The sequence below is a fragment of the Homo sapiens genome, chromosome 4, assembly GCF_000001405.40.
Source record: "Homo sapiens chromosome 4, GRCh38.p14 Primary Assembly".
Taxonomy (NCBI): domain Eukaryota; kingdom Metazoa; phylum Chordata; class Mammalia; order Primates; family Hominidae; genus Homo; species Homo sapiens.
The window spans coordinates 100,658,356-100,677,809 of record NC_000004.12 but is presented as its reverse complement, the minus strand read 5'-3'; the positions used below and the strand labels follow the sequence as shown (position 1 = coordinate 100,677,809).

The following is a 19,454-nucleotide window of genomic DNA, read 5'->3' as shown; positions in this document are numbered from 1 at the left end:
TCATACTTTTCCAATACTGTCAAAATAATTTAACCTTTTAAAAAAATTTTTTAATTCTTCTATTACATGTCTTTGATGGCTTTAGAAATACCATTTGACCCAGCCATCCCATTACTGGGTATATACCCAAATGACTATAAATCATGCTGCTATAAAGACACATGCACACGTATGTTTATTGCGGCATTATTCACAATAGCAAAGACTTGGAACCAACCCAAATGTCCAACAATGATAGACTGGATTAAGAAAATGTGGCACATATACACCATGGAATACTATGCAGCCATAAAAAATGATGAGTTCATGTCCTTTGTAGGGACATGGATGAAATTGGAAATCATCATTCTCAGTAAACTATCGCAAGAACAAAAAACCAAACACCGCATATTCTCACTCATAGGTGGGAATTGAACAATGAGATCACATGGACACAGGAAGGGGAATATCACACTCTGAGGACTGTGGTGGGGTGGGGGGAGGGGGGAGGGATAGCATTGGGAGATATACCTAATGCTAGATGACGAGTTAGTGGGTGCAGCGCACCAGCATGGCACATGTATACATATGTAACTAACCTGCACAATGTGCACATGTACCCTAAAACTTAAAGTATAAAAAAAAAAAAAAGAAAAGAAATGTAAGAATTACCAGCAAAAAATAAAAAAAATAAAAAAATAAAAAAAATAAAAACTTTTTACAATCAAGCTGTAAATAAACATACATAATATAAAGCAATTAACTTTTATTAGTATAATTAAAATCCAAAATAAAGTCTTTCAATACCTAAATTTTGCTTAAATTTTTAAACAACCGATCTTGATTGCAATTCTGTTGTGGATACACAGTAAACAATAAATGTTTGATGTTTGATGAAATTAGTTGAAAGGAAAGAGGAAGAGAAAATGAGTAAAATTATATATGTAAATAAATTAACAGAGAAGAAACTTGTTATTTAAAGGGATATTTTAGTGTGTCACATTTGATAGGTTTTGAAGGGAAGACGAGGGTTAAATAAAAATAGAAAGAGAGAGAGAGTGGTGGCTCAACAGCAAATTCAGGCATTTATGTCCAGCATAAACCTGCAGAGGTTGGGGACCAGCTTAATACCAGAGACCACAGCTGCTTACAGCCTGGGGTATTTATAATTATGGAGCGGGGAGAGGTCTGGGCAGTATGGCTTGCTGCCCGGAAGGATATTGATAAGATGTTCCTGTGATCAGATGGTTTAGCCCTTTTTTCAGTGAGATGTGAGAGGATGTTCCTTGTACCTTTGCCCAGCAAGATTTGATAGGGATGTTCCTTCAGTTGGGCCTTTGCTTGGCAGAGTATGATAAAGATGTTCCTGTGTGGCCGGGCGCAGTTGCTCACACCTGTAATCCCAGCACTTTGGGAGGCCAAGGTGGGCAGATCATGAGGTCAGGAGTTCAAGACCAGCCTGACCAACATGGTGAAACGCCATCTCTACTAAAAATACAAAAATTAGCCGGGCATGGTGGCGCACACCCGTAATTCCACCTACTCAGGAGGCTGAGGCAGGAGAATCTCTTGAACCCGGGAGGTGGAGGTGGCAGTGATCCAAGAGCATGCCACTGCACTCCAGTCTAGGTGACAGAGCGAGACTACGACTCAAAAAAAAAAAAAAAAAAAAAAAGAAGAAAAGAAAAGAAAAGAAAAAAGATGTTCCTGTGCCTTGTGGTCAGGTGGTTAGGCAGGCTGTTTCTCAGGCCCAAACACCTGTGGCATGTTCCACCTTGACCAAGGCCTGCAAAAATGGCAGGGGGTTTAAAAAATGGTGCAGTTTGGACTAACAACATTGACTGAAGGAAAACATGATAGGCCCTTTCCAAGCGCAAATTTTCTTATCCAGCAAAGAAAGATAATGGCCTTGAATGAAGGAATGGGACAGACACCATTAAGAGCACTTTCTATAGCAGGAAGTAATAGCTCTCAAGAATCACCAGGTCAGATTTGTTACATGCAAATCCTAGGACCCGCTTCTCTAGGACTCCGAATCGTGGAGTTGCAGCCCAGGAGTCGGCCTGCAGCTGTCTTTCAGACACTCTGTGAGAAACTAGGCAACAGGGAGCAGACCAGCACAGCTCGGATTTGATTTGCAGTTACAGCCAGTAGCTAAAAAAAGGGCAGGGTTCTGTAGTCTTGCTTCTTGAATTTTGTATTTCTAACTTATTTATTTGTTTGTTGGTTTGCAGGAGAAAATGTTTCACTTCCTTCTACCCCCAAAGTTGGGAGAAGGTTTTAACAAAAGAAGAGCCTGGAGATCAGGATGCCCTGAAATCTTTTTTTCAATTTTTTTTCTATTTTTTTTTAATTTTGTGGAGGAAAGTCTCCATAGTCATAAATAATTAACATAACTAGCATTTCGTATAGTGCCTTTCTTTCTTTCTTTTTTTTCTGTGCACTGTAGACCCTTGGCTATTGGTTATTGCTGGAACTCTAAATTGCTTATGGGGGAGTTGAACAATTCCTACCTTAACCTTATGTTACTGTAGCATTTTGCACAATATGTATATAATTTCTAGTGAAAGCTTTTCATAGAACTGAACACTCTACAGGTATTCCGCCTACATAGCCATTTAATTTCATATCCCTGATAGATTTCCCTATGATGTTGCTAGGAGACCAAGACACTTCCAAACAAAGGATACCGAATGTATCAACCACGTAGATAGCTGCTCCCCTGAATTCATTTGCTGTGGCAAATATGGCTTCCTTAAAATCTGCTGTTTATGAAAATACAGGTAATAATGGGGAAATTGCCCAGCATGCTGACTTAGGGGTGCAGTTCTCTTTTAAGTAAGATCACCAACTTTCTCTTTTCCCTATTTTATGACCATGGAATTGAAACAGGGCTATGGGGTTTTAATTTTCCCATGGGGCAAAGACTTGTGTTCTGCTGTTGTTCTACTACATTTTAGAACTACAGAATAGAGAGAAAGAACCAAAGAATCAAAAATTTTAGAGTCAAAAATTGTTGAGAAATCAATTTCCCTCAACATTCCCAAAAATTCCCACAAATTTTCATTACTTCATACCTTTGGAGGTACATTATGCCAGGCATGGTATGCCAAGATTCTCTATTGATGTTATAATTTATATTCTAGGGTGGCAATCTAATTAGCAAAAATCACATTAGCAATTTTTATATTATAGAAGTTTTGAGGAATAGGTCTTGTTTACCATCACATGAAACTCTGGGGAAGGTCAGTGAAACACCAGTGCAGCAGCCCTCTTATAGTCAGGTACAAATAGAAGCTGCCTCCGTGATCATTATCGATGGAATGTTTGTGACCTCCCCGCTTCCCAACCAAATTCATATGTTGAAGCCTTAACCCCAAATGTGATGGTATTTGGAGATACGGCCTTTGGGAGGTGATTAGGATTAGATGGCGTCATTAAGGATGGGGTCCCTGTGATGGGATTAGTGACATTATAAGAAGAGACTAGAGAGCTTATGCTTCTGCACTCTATCTCTCTCTGTCTGTCTGACTGACTGTCTCTCTCCCTTCTGTATGAGGACACAACAAAAAGACAGCTGTCTGCAAGTCATGAAGACAGCCATTACCAGGAACCAAACTGAATGGTACCTTGATCTTGTGCTTTTCGGTCTCGAGAGCTGTGAGAAACAAATGCCTGCTGTTCAAATTGTCCAGCCTATGGTATTTTGTTACGGCAGTCTGAGCTGACCAAGATAACCGGAAACCTAGAAAAAAAACTGAGAGACTAGATAACACATGCTCCAGAAAAAAAAGTACTTGATCCAGAAAAAGGTAGGTAACTGCTGGGACCCTAATGTGACAAAATATCTGCAGAAACTGCCTTTTTTAGTCTAACCCCTCCATTGCTAATTATCCCCAATCTCTGCTCCCTCTTGACACTCATCTTTTGAGTATGTTCCCGTTCTACTTAAACAGTCCCCTTTGGCCAGAGCGCTTTACACTTGTTGAACTTCCAGTGGACCTTTCAGATGTCAGCTCACTTGCTCCTTAGCTGGGGACATACTTGTTAAATAAATGACTTAGACAGCTTAGTACTTTCTTCTCTGGCACTCTCTCTGGTTCTGTCTTATTCTTGACCTGCCCCTCTCTACTTTCTGTCCCTCATTCTAGGTAACTTTCAGATTTTAGTTTTGTTTCCTTTTTTTCCTCCCATGTTCCTCAACCCTGAAGTGATGACCCACTTTCAAAGTTCAGCGAATCCTAATGACTTTCAAACCCAAATATTCAGTCCCTCATTCTAGCGCTAGTCGTCTGTTTTATGCCCTGTTTAAGATACAGTCACATGAAAGTTCAGCTGTCATTTCAAATTCTACTTGGGTAAAATAGATAAAACAACAAAGGTTTTTGGGAGTCATAAATATTTAGTGCTATGTGACTTTGGGAAAATTATTTAACCTCTTTGGCCTGTATTTTATTAGTTATAAAATTTAAATATTAATACTTGATTAATACTTGTCTTTCAATATGGTTTAAGGAATTGTGAAAAATATATGTATATATAATTAGTGTGTGTACACATTGCTTAGTAGTCAGTGTCTGAGACAGCAGCAAATAATAAGCTATTATTACTTTACATATTTATTAGAATAAATTATCTCCCCAAACTTGTACACTTTTCCATTTTATTTTTAAAACAATAAACCCCCATATAAAAAATCACTTAGGCTCAATATTTTAGAGTCACTTTTCTATTCCACAAAAAAGTTAAATTGGAAATCAAATCCTGTTACTTCTTCCTTCAAATTGTGTCTCTAGTTCAACATGTTGAATTCAAAATGTTGTTCTCTTTTTTACCACCATGATGCAGATCCACACTCTTGGTCCTGGGCCATATAACTAGTCTTTAATCAATTGTTCTGCTCCAAGTCTCTTACACTGTGCCTGCTACTCATTCAGTATTCCCAGTATGTGTGACTTTACCAACGCAATCCTCCTGGAGATGCCTAGTATGACTTCTGGCAGAATCAAGTCCAGGTGTCTCCTTCCACTTTCAGTTCTTCTCTCTAACCCATCTAACCTGTCCTGCTTGTGGATCACACGGACCCAGTGATCCAATCAGTTCTTTCTTTTTCTGGCCTATAACATTTTGTGCTTCATGACAGTCCCCAGTTGTTTGCTCTTTATCATGATCTTCCCTTCTGCCTAGAAGAGCTTCATGGCTCTGTTCTGTGAATTCTTTTTCTCAAAGCTCACATCCAAGTACTTATTAAAATTTCCGTAAATTTCTCCATCTACAACTCCATGATGATCTAACAATTAAATATTTGGCATGTTACTTTAACCCTGGTTGTTTTCAGTATGACATTATTCTATGTTCTTCGAATATAGGAGACTTACCTTCTGATTTTTCTTTCCCTTTGCTGGACCCTAAACAATTCTGAGTTTATATATAGAATTTTTAATTTGTACTGTTTACTGTTACCAGAAACAGAGAGCTACTAGGTTGAATCATTTGAAATTATCAATATTTGACCAGTTTTGACCTATAACACTAACAATTTCATTAGTGATTCAGCCTAATGGCTTGATGTCCTGACCTCAAATGACTTGCTAAAATATCAAATGGACTCTTTCTCATGTTAGAAAATTAATATTTGCATTTCAGAAACCAAGAATGGGTTACTCTCCTCATATCTCACTTCACATGATCTAAAAAAGACATTTCTCATTGTTCTTTTAAATGTCAGTTCAAACTTGTTTTCTAAATAAGTTGGTGGAAGAAATATTGAAGGTGATTAATATACTAAAGATCCATACTTGTTTTATAAAGAGGGATTTCTATGATATACAATGGAGTTATTAACATGTACAATAGAATCAGACAAACCAGGCCTCAGCTCTGCACTACCTTGGGTAACCTCGAGCAGCTTATGTAAACTTTCTGTTTGGTTCTTCATCTGTAAAAAGAGGTTGTAATTTTGTTAAAAATACCCTCTTCTCAGAGTCAAGGTGAGGATTAATCTAAACAAAGCCCTTAGTACAGAGATGGCACATAATAAGCAATCTGTGAATGTCAGTTGTTTTTATTACTTTTATTAATTTTAATAAAAGAGTACCTGATCTCTTACAGAGGTAACTTGATACCACTAAACGTAGTATCTTTCTGTTTATGTTATGGAGTAACATGTCATGTTTTCATGAAAAATATTTTTTTGGGTGAGATTTGAGGCTTCTCAAAACCAGAAAAGAAAATAAATAAATGACCTTATCCTATAGAGTAAATCATTATAATTTCACATTGTGTCTCTCACTTCTCCTGGGTAGATATGAGTTCAAAGAAGCAAAGTTAATTGAGACCTCTGCCACTCGTTTTTAGAAATATCCGGAGCTTTTTACAATAGATCATTTCTCCTTCGCATCTCTTCCATCTCCCACAAAAACAAAAGGCTCAGAAAACAAATTATCCCAGCAAAATCCAGTTCTTCTTAGACTACAAAATAATAGTAAATTGAAACCATAATACTGAGCATCAGTGTTTGTCATCATGATGTAAGAATTTGTCTGTTTGAAAAAATTTAACAAAGTGTTTGAAAATACACTTAAATTGCCCAATATTTTTATAACAACTCTGTATTTAGATAAGGTTTATCTATATACTGCCCAATGTATTTATAGATTTAACAAGTTACTGCCTAAGCCATTTGTTAGATACCCAATCAGGCTGACATCACTTCTCTTGATAAATCTATTTATTAATTCAACAAATATTTATGAAAGGATTATTATAGGCTAAGCACATGGTAATCGTAGCTTATCCAAATTAGGGCTGCCTCTCATCTCTGGGTAGGACTACTTTTATTCTTTTTTTTATTTTAATGCATCAGAATCACAAAAAAATTAAAGGGCAGACACTGAGCCAAAAATTTTCTTTTTTAATGATTTTTTCATTTCCTATATAAAATTGTGCCAGTGTACCCATTATTTGTGTGTTTCTCTTCCTTAAAGGTGATGTCCTGTAATTTAGGACATCACGGTCCTAATTGCATGGTCCCCAGAGCTGGGTTCCCTACCTTGTCTATGGGGTTGGAGACAATTTGCCCCTTACATCGTCAAAACTTTGTCAGCCCAACTGGGCAATTGTTCCTGGAGAGTGTTCTGACCCCTTTTATTATATCTTGGAAAAAAATACTTGGCAGATAATAATGTTTCTTGGTGATCTTCAGTCACAATATTCTTACCTCATCTGGTTTTGATTTTTCTTTACTAAAGAATCAAAATTTCTTAACAAAGAGGTATAAAACAGATTTAATATATATTGCATTTTCTTTTCCTTTATTAGAACTTTCCATCCTATCTTTTGGAAGGGGCCTAGAAATCCAGAAACCTTGCTTGAGAACAATAGTTAGTAGTCCTTTAATTCCATCTCTTCCTGAGACAAGGAAGAATTGTTACCTGGCAATGCCAAGGCTTTTAGGCTCCATAAATGGCAGTTTCTTTTTTTTTTTTTTTTTAATTATACTTTAAGTTTTAGGTGCATGTGCACAACGTGCAGGTTTGTTACATATGTATACATGTGCCATGTTGGTGTGCTGTATCCATTAACTCATCATTTAACATTAGGTATATCTCCTAATGCTATCCCGCCCCCTCCCCCACCCCACAACAGGCCCTGGTGTGTGACGTTCCCCTTCCTGTGTCCATGTGTTCTCACTGTTCAATTCCCACCTATGAGTGAGAACATGTGGTGTTTGGTTTTTTTCTTGCAATAGTTTGCTGAGAATGATGGTTTCCAGTTTCATCCATGTCCCTACAAAGGACATGAACTCATCATTTTTTATGGCTGCATAGTATTCCACGGTGTATATGTGCCACATTTTCTTAAGCCAGTCTGTCATTGTTGGACTTTTGGGTTGGTTCCAAGTCTTTGCTATTGTGAATAGTGCCACAATAAACATACGTGTGCATGTGTCTTTATAGCAGCATGTTTTATAATCCTTTGAGTATATACCAAGTGATGGGATAGCTGGGTCAAATGGTATTCCTAGTTCTAGATCCCTGAGGAATCACCACACTGACTTCCAAAATGGTTGAACTAGTTTACGGTCCCACCAACAGTGTAGAAGTGTTCCTATTTCTCCACATCCTCTCCAGCACCTGTTGTTTCCTGATTTTTTAATTATTGCCATTCTAACTGGTGTGAGATGGTATCTCATTGTGGTTTTGATTTGCATCTCTCTGATGGCCAGTGATGATGAGCATTTTTTCATGTGTCTTTTGGCTGCATAAATGTCTTCTTTTGAAGTGTCTGTTCATATCCTTTGCCCACTTTTTGATGAGGTTGTTTGTTTTTTTCTTGTAAATTTGTTTGAGTTCATTGTAGATTCTGGATATTAGCCCTTTGTCAGATGGGTAGATTGCAAAAATTTTCTCCCATTCTGTAGGTTGCCTGTTCACTCTGTTGGTAGTTTCTTTTGCTGTGCAGAAGCTCTTTAGAAAGCACTCCTCAGCAAATGTAAAAGGACAGAAATTATAACAAACTGTCTCTCAGACCACAGTGCAATCAAACTAGAACTCAGGATTAAGAAACTCACTCAAAACCGCACAACTACATGGAAACTGGACAATCTGCTCCTGAAGGACTACTGGGTATATAACAAAATGAAGGCAGAAATAAAGATGTTCTTTGAAACCAACAAGAACAAAGACACAACATATCAGAATCTCTGGGACACATTCAAAGCAGTGTGTAGAGGGAAATTTATAGCACTAAATGCCCACAAGAGAAAGCAGGAAAGATCTAAAATTGACACCCTAATATCACAATTAAAAGAACTAGAGAAGCAAGAGCAAACACATTCAAAAGCTAGCAGAAGGCAAGAAATAACTAAGATCAGAGCAGAACTGAAGGAGACAGAGACACAAAAAACCCTTCAAAAAATCAATGAATCCAGGAACTGGTTTTTTTGAAAAGATCAACAAAATTGATAGACTGCTAGCAAGACTAATAAAGAAGAAAAGAGAGAAGAATCAAATAGACTCAATAAAAAATGATAAAGGGGATATCACCACCAATCCCACAGAAATACAAACTACTAACAGAAAATACTATAAACACCTCTATGCAAACAAACTAGAAAATCTAGAAGAAATGGATAAATTCCTCAACACATACACCCTCCAAAGACTAAACCAGAAAGAAGTTGAATCTCTGAATTGACTAATAACAGGCTCTGAAATCGAGGCAATAATTAATAGCTAACCAACCAAAAAAAGTCCAGGACCAGATGGATTCACAGCCGAATTCTACCAGAGGTACAAGGAGGAGCTGGTACCATTCCTTCTGAAACTATTCCAATCAATAGAAAAAGAGGGAATCCTCCCTAACTCATTTTATGAGGCCAGCATCATCCTGATACCAAAGGCTGGCAGAGACACAACAAAAAAAGAGAATTTTAGACCGATATCCCTGATGAACATCGACGCAAAAATCCTCAATAAAATACTGGCAAACCAAATCCAGCAGCACATCAAAAAGCTTATCCACCATGATCAAGTAGGCTTCATCCCTGGGATGCAAGGCTGGTTCAACATACGCAAATCAATAAATGTAATCCAGCATATAAACAGAACCAACGACAAAAACCACATGATTATCTCAATAGATGCAGAAAAGGCCTTTGACAAAATTCAACAACGCTTCATGCTAAAAATTCTCAATAAATTAGGTATTGATGGGACATATCTCAAAATAATAAGAGCTATCTGTGACAAACCCACAGCCAATATCATACTGAATGTGCAAAAACTGGAAGCATTCCCTCTGAAAACTGGCACAACACAGGGATGCCCTCTCTCACCACTCCTATTCAACATAGTGTTGGAAGTTCTGGCCAGGGCAGTCAGGCAGAAGGAAACAAATGGTATTCAATTAGGAAAAGAGGAAGTCAAATTGTCCCTGTTTGCAGATGACATGATTGTATACCTAGAAAACCCCATCGTCTCAGCAGAAAATCTCCTTAAGCTGATAGGCAACTTCAGCAAAGTCTCAGGATACAAAATCGATGTGCAAAAATCACAAGCATTCTTATACACCAATAACAGACAAACAGAGAGCCAAATCATGAGTAAACTCCCATTCACAAGTGCTTCAAAGAGAATAAAATACCTAGGAATCCAACTTACAAGGGATGTGAAGGACCTCTTCAAGGAGAACTACAAACCACTGCTCAATGAAATAAAAGAGATCACAAACAAATGGAAGAACTTTCCATGCTCATGGGTAGGAAGAATCAATATCGGGAAAATGGCCCTACTGCCCAAGGTAATTTATAGATTCAGTGCCATCCCCATCAAGCTACCAATGATTTTCTTCACAGAATTGGAAAAAACTACTTTAAAGTTCATATGCAACCAAGAAACAGCCCATATTGCCAAGTCAATCCTAAGCCAAAAGAACAAAGCTGGAGGCATCACGCTGCCTGACTTCAAACTATACTACAAGGCTACAGTAACCAAAACAGCATGGTACTGGTACCAAAACAGAGATATAGACCAATGGAAAGGAACAGAGCCCTCAGAAATAATGCCACATATCTACAACTATCTGATTTTGACAAACCTGACAAAAATGAGAAATGGGGAAAGGATTCCCTATTTAATAAATGGTGCTGGGAAAACTGGCTAGCCATATGTAGAAAGCTGAAACTGGATCCCTTCCTTACACCTTATACAAAAATTAATTCACGATGGATTAAAGACTTAAATGTTAGACCTAAAACCATACAAACCCTAGAAGAAAACCTAGGCAATACCATTCAGGACATAGGTATGGGCAAGGACTTCATGTCTAAAACACCAAAAAGCAATGGCAACAAAAGCCAAAATTGACAAATGGGATCTAATTAAACATAAATGGCAGTTTCTAAAGGGTCTTTCATAGTGCATAGTTACATGTATTGGATGAAAAAATAAAAATCTGAGTCAGGTGGCTCTGGTAAATGCAGCAGATAAGACAAATATGTGATCACTGCCTTTAAGGAATTTAGAGTCTGAGAAAAAGAGGTTTCGAACAAGTGCACAGAAAGTAGGGAAAAGCATTTCTGGCAGAGGGGACAGTGTTCAACAGCACCTGAGGCTCAAAAGAGCATGGTGGTTTTAAGGAATTAAAATAGAGTCCCTATGGCTAAAATGTGAAGTGACAAAGGAAAGATGCCCTGATCCTGCAGGCTCGTGAGTTTTTTATTGGACTTTACCCTAAAGGATAATGCAGTCAGGGAAGGTTTTAAACAGAATAGTGAGATGTCAGACTTGAGTTTTTCAAGATTAGCCTGGCTGCCATGTAGAAGGATGGGGGGAGGGCAGAACAGATGTAAGGGAGTCTGTTTATACGTTTACTGAATTGATCTTTTGTTTGGCTGATATTTTGTTTGAGATTTTTGTTTGATTGATTTTTTAAAAATCAATTCTCAAGACTTTCTCTTTAATTTCTCACCTCTATTCATCTAATACCCCTTTCCGAAAGAGTGTCTATTCTGTTCTCCAATCCTGCTTCTCTTTCAAAGACCTTGTGGAAGAGCCCTCCCTTCAGAAAAACTTTCTTGATCTTACCATTCATATACAATCGTGTGCTGTTTGCTATTTTGTATTATTGTAGCACTTCGTTGGTGTAGCATTTAAGGCATTTATTTTAGATCATAGGTATAAAATGATGTTGTGAAGTGTTCATTGAAGCCAGACAGAATTAGGTTTTACTTTCTAACTGTATGATTTAGGGCATGCCAGTTATATGGAATTTCAGGTTATTTATAACAGAAAAAAAAAACCTCTTTCTCATGATTACAATAATTAAATGAGAGAATGTATATAAATAACCTAGCTTTTGAAATATATGTGTACATTGTGTACACCACTATATTTCAAAAACTGTATATATATATTTTGAAATATATATATGTATATATATGTGTGTGTATATATATAGTATATACGTGTGTGTGTGTATATATATATAGTATATACATAGTTTTTGAAATTAGTGGTTTTCTTACAAGTTGTTTTATTTCTTCTTCTTCCTTGCCTTTTTTAATTAGTTGAGGAAGGAGATATCTTTTTCAGTTGTGCGTCAATTTCAGTATGTTGCCTGCAATAACAAATAAATAATTGATGAACTAAATGGACGTTATGTCATATAAACTCTTAATAAGGTAAGTTGCTTCATCCAATAGAATGGTGACATAACTTGGAATTAGTAGTAGTCTTTTATCCCATTGTATCAGATATGGCTTTGCTGACATGAATTACTCTTAAAATTTGTATTTAGTGAATCTAGGAGAGCACTAAAAATTATGACCTTGAAATGTGGTCTCTGCCCTGATTTTGTATTCTTCAGTGATTCATTGTTCTAGAGGCTGGTCAGTTTTTTGCTTTTTGTTTTTCTTATATCTACTCTCTATAGATTTCAAGCATTAATTTATATTTTGCAGGTTCCTCATGGTTTCTGAGAGGTTTCAGGCGCACTGTTGAAGTGAGCTTCAAAGTGCAAGCCTTTCTCTGTGCCACCCCAGCTATGCTTACTATTTTCTCCTTTTGAACCCCTGAATAATGCATATAATTGAATTATAATGCACGATGAAAAATCCTGTGATAAAAAAATGATAATGCAACTTTTTATTTTTCCTGTGTGAAAGTGGATTTAGGCAGCTTCCAAATGTGAACTGAGTGAAAGATTACATGTAACTTTAGAATAACTAAATCGTAACATTTAAATTACATTTAACTTAAATGCAATTTAAACATTTGAAGTAAAACATTTAAATAATATCTATACCACAGATTGAAGAGCATAGGTTTTTTTTCCTTGTAATAAATAGCAATGAAAATACAGCCATCTTTAGTAATCAGGATAAATAATATCTCTTATCTGTGAACTGGCTTCAAGTACTGGTATTAAACAATGATAAAATATTAGTGTTATAAAGCTTAAAACTGACACAGCTTCCTTCAATGCCTAAAGGATGGTTTGCAACTTTTATGGCATCCAGAAAAAACATTAAGTCTTCTGAGAAAACATGCTATCATTTAATTGGGTATATAAATGAATAGAAAAAAGAACAAAAATTTCAAAACAAAGTTTATCTAGTTTATTGTGAAGGATCTTTAACATTTTAGATACAGAAATATATCTTACAATATAAATATTAACATCAATTTCTGGTAATGTGTACTAATTAATATTAGTATACATTTATTGGTTTAAACTTTTAAAATGTTAGCATACATTTATTGGTATAAACCAACACATGGTTTAAACTTTTAAAATATTAGTATACATTTATTGGTTTAAACCAATAAATGTTTTTTAAAATATTAGTATGCATTTATTGGTTTAAATCAAGTGTTAAACTCACTTGGTTTAACACTTAGTAGAGACTTTCTTTCGAATTCTAGTAGGAGACATTACTTCTTCTGAGCTAATAACTTATGTAAGAAAATAGAAACTTGAAAAATTGATTTATTTGTTAATGTCCATGCAAGCCATCATTCTTGATGGAAATCATCAAAGCATTTATGAGTTTTAAGTTGTATCTAGGGTTAATGTTGCTTAAATAAGGTCCTCCATCTGCAAAGATGACCAGGAACTTTCCTGATAATAGATATGCAGTGAGATTATCTACTCCCCAATTTTTCATCCTTAGAAAAAAAATGAAACTGAAGATATCCTACCAATATATATATTTTTCCATATACCAAATGGAAGACAAAAGTGCTGAAAGGGCAAAGTTTTTTCTAAAGTTTGAACATACCATGAATTCATAAATAATTCCTTAATTAATATGCCCAGAAACTAGTTCATGTTATGTAACACAAGTCAAACTGCAATGGCTCAGTATTAGACACATATCCAAATTCTTTCTGGGTTGTCAACATTAAGTATTTTGACCAATAATATGAGAACAATAATTTAAAAAAATTGGCAAGCTTATCTCATGGAAGACAGAATGAGAATTTGAAAAGCAGAATCCAAAGAAAAATATTGCTAAATTGAACAACACAAAAATTAAGAACTTCTGTTAATCAACAGACACCAGTAAGAGAATGAAAAGGAAAGCCACAGAGTGGGAGAAATACAGAGGACAATAGAACAATGAGCAAATATTTGAATAGGGCCTTCACCAAAGAGAACATCCCAATGGCTAGTAAACAAATAAGGAGGTGATAAAATTGATTATTCATCAGGAAAATGCAAATGAAGATCACATTGTGACACCACAACACCTTGAGCAGAATGGCTAAAATGAAGTAGGCTGAGCATACCCAGTGTTGGCAAGGGTGTAGGGTGACTACACAATGCTAGTAAGAAAAGAAATATTGGTACAACTTCTTTGGAAAATGTTTTGACATTTACTAAAGCTAAATTCATATACAGCTATGACCCAGAAATTTTACTTCCATGAATATACCCAACAGAGTGCACCCATATGCTCATCAAATCACAACTATAGGAATGTTCTATTCCTAATAGCCCTAATTGAAACAAACCAAATATCCATTAAGAATAGAATGGATAAATAGTGATATATATACCACAGAATATTATACAACAATGAGAATGAATTAAAACAGTGTACTGTTCAACGAATGGATCTCACAAACAAAATTTTGAGTGAAAAAATTCAGATGCAAGAGAACATGTATTTTTTATTTCATTTACACATGGAGGAAGCGAATCTTTTGTGTTAATAGTCAAGATAGTAGTTACGTATGAGGAACCGGTGTCTGGAGTGGCAAAGAGGGGGTGTTTTGAAGTGTTGGTAATTACCTATTTCTTAAACTTAGTGTCAGTAGCTTACTGTGTTCGATTTTTGTAAAGTTTTCACAATGTACATTTATGATGTGTGCACATTTTTGTTTGCATGTTATACTTCAATAAAAAGTATACGTAAAATAAAATTGCTGACAAGTCTTAACAAGCCACTGTGGGAGACTTACCTTCCAGTGCTAGTGTAGCAATTCATCTCCAGAGCTTAGTTGACATAACCCTTGGTACTAATGTGTGAACAAAGGTAGAAACAAAACAGAGTTATATGAGGGTCCACTGTTCTTAAGCAGATATTTTTTAAAATGTTGGGTGAATGAAAACAAATAAAAATCTTTCCATGCTAATTGTATGCAGATTTTAAGCTATACTAAGAAGCAATAACAGTTTAAAAAATATTTGAGTGGGAAAAAAATGTCCTCCTGTTTAGAGTTCTAAGACCAATCAAAACAATTTGGAGTTTGGAACAGAACATCAGAACATGTTGTAGTCTTTGAATAAACAATTGTTGAATGAAATATTACTAATGGCCTGATATGACTTGTCTCCTTTCTTCCATGTATCTTATTTTACTGCACTCTTGGTTGCTTTCAGTGACCTCTCCCCATCTACTTCCATCAGTCTTTTGCCTCCTTCTCACTATTCAGAAATCTGCAGATTTATCATTCATATTTCCTATCTCCCACCCTATACATATCTGAAAGCTTCAAGAAATAGATTTGGAATCACTACAAAATAATGGGGAGCCACTGTCTAGAATTGATTTGAGAATGTGCCTCTTTAAATATAGTTGTCAGAACTGGATATAATACTAATAGTTAGGATGTCATGTGAGTAGCACTAGTCTAGAATTAATCCTCCACCTCTCTTACATGAGACAAGCTACTATTTTAAAATAGAAATTATGAATTTAGATCTTCATCATCTAATTCAGTTTCCATCCACCAGTATCTACCTGGATATATTCAGCAGCAAGGAATCTAACTGCTTCATGAGATGATTCCTTCTATTGTGGGTAAGGACTAGTTGCTGACTCCCTTCAGCCTTCAGAGGTAATGGAAACAATATTTTTACATGAGAATCCTTCGGATATCTTAAGGGACCTATATTCTCTTTCCAAAGCTTTGTCTTCTTTAGTTTTTTTAACCATTCAGTTTATGACATGATTCCAAACAATTTCCTGTGTTGCGTCTTCTCTTCTAGACCAAATCTAGGTCAGCGTTTGTCTTAAAATATCATGCACAAAATTAAATATAATACCCATATGTGGTCTATTCTATACTGAATACAATGGCTGATTCTGTTCCATGAACTGGATTCTAAACTTTTTTTAAATTGCAGCTCAAATTGTCATTAGCTCAGCACTGTGCTTTGCTGTTAGAGCTGACTTTAGTGACTGGCTGTGGCAGTTGTTTTTCTCATATATTCCACCTTTAAACCACTCCTTCTGTATCTTCTTCACTGGGAAAGTCTCTTTTGTTTTGTGGAATAGCCTAAAAGTGCTCTTCATCCTCCATTCTTGCCTGTTTTTTTCTTCTGCTCTTTAAGAACTTTATGAAGTAATTGACTTTACTCCTGGGATTCTCCTATCCTGCTTTTCTCTCACTCTCCCTATAGTGTGGTTTTGTATGTTAAAGTATTAACAACAATTCAAAAGGACAAACTAAAGTATCTATTATTTTAGCCCAAAGCCAACTTCTCAGCATCAGCATCACAGTCAGTACCCACTCCTTGTTGCTGTAAACATGTAGAATGGCAGCCTCCTAAGCCATTTCTCAATGATCATATTGGCAGTTTGGCCTTTTCCCCCAATTTTCTATGCTGTGTTTGAACTAGAACCTAAACTTCTACTTGGACAAATCAAGCAGAATTAAACAGTCGCTTTGTGAAGAACACTGGTGTCAATACTTTTAAGAAATAATTAAGTCATAGAATCATGAATATTAGGAGAAAATATTGTCCAGTGTAACATTTTAATCAGAGTAGAATTTCCTCTTAACACATCCCTGCTATATAAGCTTCCAGCTGCTGCTTAAAGAAGAGTAATGTTAAGGATCTCACTGCTTTTTAGGGTGGCTCATTTAATTTTCAAGCGTTTCATGCTATGAGAATCTTCTTCAATATAAAGTAAATCGACTGCCTTTCCTGTAGCTTTCTACTTAACTTTCTAGTTATGCCTTCTGGTCCAAAAATGAATAAATCTCTTTCATAAGGACACCCCTAAAAATGCTTTAAAATTATGTATGATTTTACCATGAGTTTGTTTTTGGAGAAGCCATTTGGTAATATAATATAAAAATAATAATATTAGCTAGTATTAAATACCTTCCTAATTTTATTATGTGCATTTCCTTAACTATCACAGAACACCTATGAATATTTATGAAGAGCATAATTTTACAGAGGAACACCCAAGTAATGGTCACAGGAATTGAAGAGCTTGCAAGGGTCAAGCGCTAATCAGTGATGGAACTTGGTTTTAAACTCCATTATTTCCTGCAGCAGAGTCTACATCCTCAAATGTTTCACCATGCCATCTACAGTCTGATGTGCTTTCCAGATTTCTCACCATTCCACTTGATCTCCTTTAAATGACTTTGATTTGAGAGTGTGCATCTTCAAATATAGTGCTCAGAACTGGATGCAATGCTCACAATATCATGTGACCAGCACTAAGTCGATACAAGTTTATTCCTTTGAATTTGTCCTGGCGTTTGACAAGGATATTGTGGATATTAAAGATATTTATTTCACAAGCTTTACTGAATCAATGTTTCCTAGACCTACATTATCTATTTAATTTATCAGTTCCTAAATTATATTAATTTGGATAAATGGAAGTGACAATATAAACTATTTAATTTAGAAAGTAAATTGTGGAAAATATTTTGAATAAATTCATTTCCCATTATTTTCCAGTCCACCTATTGCTAAGAACTGCTGCAGATTAAAAGTCCTTTTAGACTTCCTCTAATATATTGAAATAATTTTGCAATATATGAAACCTATGAATTAATTGTATTTCATTTTATAATTTGTTAAAAGTAAGTTTACAGTCTTATTTGCATTATTAATTTGCTTTCAAATTCTATCTTCATATATGGTATGTCCTAAAAAGAAAACTATTGATCAAAGTTTGCAAAATTTCATGAGGATTAATGAAGCTGGTTAGGATGGAAGCACACAGAACTAATAGAAAGTCACTAAAGAAGTATTCGTAATGCCTGTCTTGCTATTTGACTTATTCTTTCTAGAGGAAATTTCTTGTTTTGTGTGATCTATATATGTATATATGCACACACAAATGTATACATAAACACACACATATGCATTGCTGGTTTATGCTCTGTGAGTAACTTTATGGTAGTGGAGCTTCATGGTAGCATATTGTAGTCATATCGAAATATAGTCCCAGGAGAACTTGAATTCACTTAAATTGGAGTTATGCACTGATGATTCCTGAGGAGGACATGACCTCTAGATTAGACAATCAAAGCTCTGTTATTTTTATCAGATCTGCCAGGAAAATCAATTACTTCCTTCAAAACAAATTAAACAACAAACCTTTCCCAAGGACGTTACACACAGTTGTTTATGGGTTTTGAGGCTGTTTTTATGTTCTAACATATCCACTTTCTTAAGAATACATCAAAAGAAATGAGCCCAAAAAATAAGATGTAATTTTATTAGACAGGTAGAAATTTAATATATAGCCAATAATTGATTAGGCATTTGTAATTAAGGGTAAGAAATTCAACAGGACCATGTTTAATATTCTCCTTTATTATTCCAAACCAGAAAATGTTGCATCACTTGTACTGTGGGCATTCATTCTATTAAAGAATTTTAGAGATCTACATAGTCAAAAAGTATTTTTCCCAACAGCAAGTATTATTTCCTTCGAATCCATAGCTTTATTGACATAATTATATATGTATATACCTACTCACTCTAAAATAATGCAATATCCCCTTCATAGCTCATCTGTAAGTTTATTTCATGTTGTTGGCCAAAACTCCACAGATAAAAGGAACTGACCCATGATTAAGAATTTTATTTAATAAAAAGAAAATAAAAACAACACAAATAATTATATTATCATAATTATATTATTAATATGTGGCTTACAAACATATCATTATAATTATAATATTGATAAACCATCATATGTTATTAATGGAAATTATATCTACATAAAATATGCTCTAAAGTGGGGCGTCTTAACTTCAAGCTGAGAGTTTGGAAACTACAGCATATACGTTATGTGTGGGAGAATGAAAAAAAAAAAACACCAGTCACATTATTTTGCTTAAAGAGATTCTTCATATCATTCTAGAAATCCCATGCTATATTTGGATGCTTTTTGTGGCAACATAATAAGCAAAATAACCTTGCTGCAAAACCTAAACCATTTTCTTTACATATCCGTAAGTACTAAACAGAAAAATTTGTAATGCTACTGCTGTTAGAGAATAGAGCAATGTGTATGTTCTGGTTGTGATATATTAAGGGACACAGACAACATGCAGCAAGACCATTTAAATGGAACAATAGAAAAGTGTCTATAAATCCATCTACACACACAAACACACATGTTTAGTTATATTTATGTTGTTATCTAAGTTCATTGTGTGCTGGTTAAGAACATACACTTTAGCACCAGAATGACCTGGATAGAA

At 35.3% G+C, this 19,454-nt stretch overlaps 1 long non-coding RNA gene across 1 annotated transcript; it reads left to right on the top strand.

Moving 5' to 3' along the window:
• The first annotated feature begins 2,696 nt into the window (after positions 1-2,696).
• Positions 2,697-17,531, top strand: LINC01216 (long intergenic non-protein coding RNA 1216). Its single transcript, NR_046811.1, has 4 exons — positions 2,697-2,762; positions 3,539-3,791; positions 12,050-12,163; positions 17,141-17,531. It is a non-coding gene; the product is annotated as a long intergenic non-protein coding RNA 1216 (long non-coding RNA).
• The last annotated feature ends 1,923 nt before the right edge of the window (positions 17,532-19,454 follow it).